General features: G+C 47.4%; 1 long non-coding RNA gene across 4 annotated transcripts; it reads left to right on the forward strand.

The window, feature by feature from the left end:
* The first annotated feature begins 1,545 nt into the window (after nt 1-1,545).
* LOC105371950 (uncharacterized) lies at nt 1,546-5,705 on the forward strand. 4 transcript variants are annotated; one of them, XR_002958209.2, is made up of 6 exons: nt 1,546-1,866; nt 2,231-2,415; nt 3,437-3,542; nt 3,716-4,029; nt 4,130-4,239; nt 5,626-5,705. It is a non-coding gene; the product is annotated as an uncharacterized LOC105371950 (long non-coding RNA). The 4 variants fall into 4 exon arrangements; XR_935077.3 differs by lacking the exons at nt 3,716-4,029; nt 5,626-5,705 and adding an exon at nt 5,272-5,608; XR_007066263.1 differs by lacking the exons at nt 3,716-4,029; nt 5,626-5,705 and adding an exon at nt 5,272-5,608 and having other exon boundaries at nt 2,286-2,415.
* Nucleotides 5,706-5,900: the final 195 nt, after the last annotated feature.

The raw sequence follows: 5,900 nt of genomic DNA on the forward strand, positions 1-5,900 counted from the left end.
ATATACCCAAAGGACTGTAAATCATGCTGCTATAAAGACACATGCACACGTATGTTTATTGCGGCACTATTCACAATAGCAAAGACTTGGAACCAACGCAAATGTCCAACAATGATAAACTGGATTAAGAAAATGTGGCACATATACACCATGGAATACTATGCAGCCATAAAAAATGATGAGTTCATGTCCTTTGTAGGGACATGGATGAAACTGGAAATCATCATTCTCAGTAAACTATCGCAAGAACAAAAAACCAAACACCGCATATTCTCACTCATAGGTGGGAATTGAACAATGAGATCACATGGACACAGGAAGGGGAACATCACACTCTGGGGACTGTTGTGGGGTGGGGGGAGGGGGGAGGGATAGCATTGGGAGATATACCTAATGCTAGATGACCAGTTAGTGGGTGCAGTGCACCAGCGTGGCACATGTATACATATGTAAATAACCTGCACAATGTGCACATGTACCCTAAAACTTAAAGTATAATAATAAAAGAAAAAATATATATATAACATAAAAAATAATAAATAAATAAATAAATTTTTAAAAATTAAAAAAATAGATTAAAAATAAATTCATGAAGGGAAAGAAAATATTCACACATTATGTATTTGGTAAGTAATTAATATCCGGGCTATATAAAGACCTCAGCAACAACAACAAAACAATCAAATTTAAACATGAGCAAAGGTTTTAAAATACACATTTCTCTAAAGAAGATATGCAAATGACCAGTAAGCACAGGATAAGGTGCTCAGCATCACTAATCATGAGAAAAAAGTAAATCCAAACCACAATGCAATACCAACTGACACATGTAAGCATAGCTGCCATCAAAAAAACCCCACCAGCAAAGCAAAACAACAAAGCCCCAGAGAACAGCAAATGCTGGATGTGGAGAAGTCAGGACTCCTGCACACTGCTGGTGGGAAAGTAAGATGGCACAGCCACTGTGGAAAACAGTAATCACCATATGATCCAGTAATCCCACATCTGGGTATATACCCCAAAAAACTGAAAGTGGGAATTTGTACACCCATGTTTATAGCAGCATTCACAAGAGCCAAAGGGTAGAAAAAGCCCAAATCTCCATCTACAGATGAATGGATAAGCAAATATGATTGATACACACAATATTATTCAGCCTTAAAAAGAAAAGAAATTCTAATACATGCTACAACATAAACCTTGAAAACATTAAAACAAAAAAATGCAAATACTCCATGCTTTCCACTTTTATAGTGTACCTAGAGCAGTTAAATTCATAGACACAGAAAGTAGGATGTGGTTTCCAGGGGATGGGGGGAAGGGAAAGGGGAGCTATTGTTCCGTGGATACAGAGTTTCACTTTGGGATGATAACACAGGTTTGGAATGGATACTGGTGATAGTTGCACAACAATGTATTTCTACTTAATGTACTTAAATTTTCTCTTATACATATTTCACCACAGAAAAAAAATTAGCAAATATTTAAAAATCTACATGTTTCTTTGAACTGTTTCTTTACGTCCCTTGTCCATTTTTCAATTTGGCTGTTGGTCTTTTAATAATTTAGGATAGCTATATAGCTATATATATACATATATATTACACAAATTAGCTTTTTGTCTGTCATGTATGTTGCAGATCTGTTTCCCCAGTCTGTTGACTTTTGACTTTGATGCATTTTTCTTGCCTATAAAGTTTTAATTTTTATGGAGTCAAATGCATCAGTCTTCTATTCAAAGACTTATTTATGGGTTTGGTGTTTCAGTTTAGGATGAAAAAGAAGTTGTAGATATGGATAAAGGAGATGGTTGTACAACACATTATATTGGACCACTCAACTGTACGTTTAAACATGGTTAAAATGGTAAGTTTTATGTTGTATATATTTTACCACCAAAAAAGGGCCAGGCTTAGATATTTATATGTTAGGGGTTTGGAGTACCTCTAACATTTATTCCCCTACAGGGCTCTAATTTATAAAACTCCCACACAAGAAAAGTAGATACTGACTTCACAAATCTCCTTACAAGTCCCACAGCAAGGGCTGTCTGGGAAAGCAGAGGTGGAAAAAGTCACATAAACTTGAGATCAGTGTGAGACCTCCCATCCCCCACTCTGGAATCAGATGGAGGAAGGCAGGCATGCAGGCTGAGCTGGAGAGATGAGCTGGGGTGGGCAGAACTGTCTTCCCATGAGCCTAGACCTTAAGTGCTCCCACATGATCTCAGGCATGTATCAAACCAAGAAAGCGGCTAGGAGGGCAACACATCTACCTGTATACAGGGAGCTATGAAATACGTGAGCTGCGCAAGTGATGCACAAGGAAACGGAAGCAGTATGACCTTTACACAGTGACCTGGCTCAAATAATTTCAGGCTGTCATTAACCAGGCGAGCTCCACTTTCTCTCTGAGGTAGGTAAAATTGAGGGGGTAAAGTGGGAGTTGGGGAAAATGGAAAAGAAAGCCTGGTAGTATTTCTTCTAACTCTGTCATAAATAAAAAGTAAAACATAGATGCCATTTCTCAGGGCCCAAATGTTAGGTGAAAAAATGTTTGTCATCTCAGTCATGTGATGTGGACTTCAGCAGAGCAGTACACACATGGTCATTTATCCTTTCCCTCTGCATGTTGTGTGCTTTTTCAGTTTATAATGTACCTGATCCACTTGTCTCATCACACTAGCTGCAAACAAGGCCACTGAATGTCACAGCAGGTGGCCGGCATGTCTGTGAAGGGCAGAAACTGGGGCAGCCAAACAGCTGGCAGAGGCCAGCTAGGAAGTACCTGATGCCCACTCCATAGAGGACTCCACACTTAAAAGACAAGATCAGCAAGTGTCAGGCTGCCTCACTAGTTATCCCCCCAAATAAAAAAATAAAAGTAACCCCTCCAGGGAACGTGTATGTGTACACACAAAAGTACATGCACACAGCTATATGCAAATGGGAAAGGCTTGGAAGGAACCAAATCCACCTCTGAACACCAGTTACTTGTGGGGAAGGGGCAGGTGAAGCCAACTGTCAGCATTACTCACCTTTTCAACTGATGAGCTTACATCAATTTTGGCAATTTCTCATAAAAAGGCAATTTTCACTCCTTGGGTGATCACCCAGGTCCTGCAGAACTGAGCCACCAACAACCACCTGCACCACTTCCCATGAGGCCAAATAATGGCTTCCCTCAAAGCTCAGCCCTCCCACCCACCTCCCAGTCCTCTCCCATGCAGGGGGCTGCCGGCCTCCTGGGGTACAGGGGTCCAGGCCAAACCCAATCCACGCATGGTTGGTGAAACCAGCACGTATCCAAGGGCCTTTCCCCCACCTGGGCCATGTGCCCACTGCATAGATAGGCCTGTGCTTGCTCCCCTAGGACAGAGACTCCCTTTTCTTCCATTGGAATGAGGAGTGGGGAGATTTAATGGTGTCCTGTACAGGTTGGGTGTTAATCTGATGTGGTGCTCTTGGAGAAGCTTGCTTGAGTTCGGCGCTTTCTCAGCACGTGGTGTGTGCTGCCCCTTCAAGCTGCAGGAGTCCCAGAAAGTAAGTGCTGCTGCAACCCCCATTTACTGGTGAACAGAGGTCAGGTGATCTGCAGCCAACCAAGCAGCTGCTAAGTGGCCAACAGGCTGGATCTGCATCTAACTTGCAGAGGCCCTGCCTGGATGCTGGGGCTGTCCTGAGACTCCCTCCTCCTCCTCCTCTTCCCTCCACAGCTCTCCTGGCTTCTATCCAAAGCTGTGTTCCAGGTGGGGAACACCTATGGATGCACCAGGGTGCAACTACTCAGAGTCCAGTGTGCAGAAGGGCCCCTGCTCTATGCTGTTTCCGTATCCAAGCCCAAGCTCTTCTAGAGCTTCAGCAAATCCAAGCCTCCCTGAATTCCCTGCAAGACCAAACTGAGCCCTACAACCCCCACCACTCTGGTTAGCTGCCAGTCCCAGCCCCTGTTCCCTCCTGGGCCCCTGTCTGTACAGTTCTGAAGTCCTACAAGAATGTTGAGATCCTAAGCCGACTCTCACCCAAAGAGGTAAACAACCAGGGGCCTCCAGGTTGAGAGAATATACCCAGACAGGTTCTGCTGCCTGTAGGCTTGATGTCTTTCCCCTACAACACGCCTTGCTTGCCAGGCTGGAAGAGGGGCTCCAGAAACTTGGGAAACCTGGGCCTGTAGCTGGCATGTGGAAAAGAGGCCTGGAAAAGCACCATTCCTGTCCATGAAGCCCCCAGATGGAACCAGGTAATTGGGAAATACATGGGCACCAAGCCTGAACCCCCCTCAGACCCAGGTGGGAACTGCAGTGGTGACTTGCCCCCTCTGCCAGTCTGGCTGTACCACTACAGGAGGGAGGAACATCTAGCCCCACGCGTGAGTGGAGACACCAGGTGTGGGCAGGTTCCAGTGGTTGCTGCAGCTGAACCTTCCTAACCAGGTCCATGCGAGACCATCTCAGATGGGTGTGCACCTGGGTTGGGCAAGGACACCCCTCAGACAGTGAGAGCCACTGAGGAGGGCTGTCACAGAGGCCCCTTTTCCTGCTCTTAGAACAGGTTGGGCGAGTATGGGGGAGTGTGGGGGAGTATGGGGGAGTATGGGGGACCTCTCCCACCTCCCAGCTGCTTCCAGGAGCCACTTCTTTCGAGATGAGACTCTCCTGCCTGCCTGTTCCCATTTGGCTGCAATAGACCATTGACAACATTCAGAGAACAAGAAGGGGCCTCACCTGTTTTCCCTGACACGTAGGAGGCAGATGGGCATTCCCAGGGGACCTGGGGTAGAGCCTGTTCATCTGCCCACCCCCAGGCTATGCTGGCTTCATCTTATCTGTGCGATAGGGCTGGGGGTGGGGGTGGGAATTACCAGGAGACCATCACACAGGCCGTGGACAAGTTCTACAAGAGCCAGGGAGAAGAACACTGTCCGTGCATGCGTCCCAGCACCCAGCTCACACATCTCTCATTTGACAGCTTCCCCAAAGCAGGCTTTGCAGTCCAGGCTCCCCAAGAAGCCAGGGGAGGAGACTCTGCCAGGCTGAAGGGTCTGTCCCCAAAGGTGCCACCCTCACCAGGCTCATCCTGACAATCTTGGATTATTTTTGCCCTGAAGTTTTGGAGTGGGGGACAGGGAGAGAGCAGACAGTACTCATTAGCCACCTTTCCAGAGAGCATCAGCCCTCCAGACTGGGGCAGGTCAGACCTCCACTCAGGCATTTTTCTCACTGGTTGCCAGTTGGGGGAAGCAGTATTTGTGAGCACCTGCCTGTCTCCCCAGGTCCTGTTCAGAAACCCCATCTGTGCCTTTGGAGGGACTGCCCTGCGCACACAGGCCCAGCAACCACCATCTACGGCCCCCAGGACCTAATCCCCTTCTACTTGGGATTCAGTGCATGTTAGCAGACACTGGGCTTGATTCCTGCCTAGTCCCTGCCAGATATCCCATGCCCACCTCATTAAGAGAATGAGGCCACACAAACACACCCAGGCCATCGTGATGATGGAGTGCCTGGGGTCCCACTTGCCCACCCTTCATTGCTGGTTCAGAGCCAGCTCTGACCACATTCCTACCCTGAGATGGGACTCTGGGGACATTGTCCACCAGGGTCACTGACCCCTTTTAACGTTCCAGAAACATGGCCAGCTGGTCCCCTAGAAGTTTGGTATATGGGATAAGCCAAGGCTTGCCTTCAGCAACAGGTTTTCCACCACATCACTGCCCAAGGCCCAGGGCATCACCAAGTTCATGTGAAGCCTGCCTGCCATGTCCACAGCCCATACCGACCCCTCCTGGAGCCACTGGAATGCTTGTTCCTGGGCATGTGATGAACCCAGACAGCTTCCGCCTTGCAGGACAACTATGCGCATCTGGCAGCAGTAGCCAGAGGGCCCATAGAAAGAAGATGG

Source organism: Homo sapiens, chromosome 18, assembly GCF_000001405.40.
Source record: "Homo sapiens chromosome 18, GRCh38.p14 Primary Assembly".
In the NCBI taxonomy this organism is placed as follows: Eukaryota; Metazoa; Chordata; class Mammalia; order Primates; family Hominidae; genus Homo; species Homo sapiens.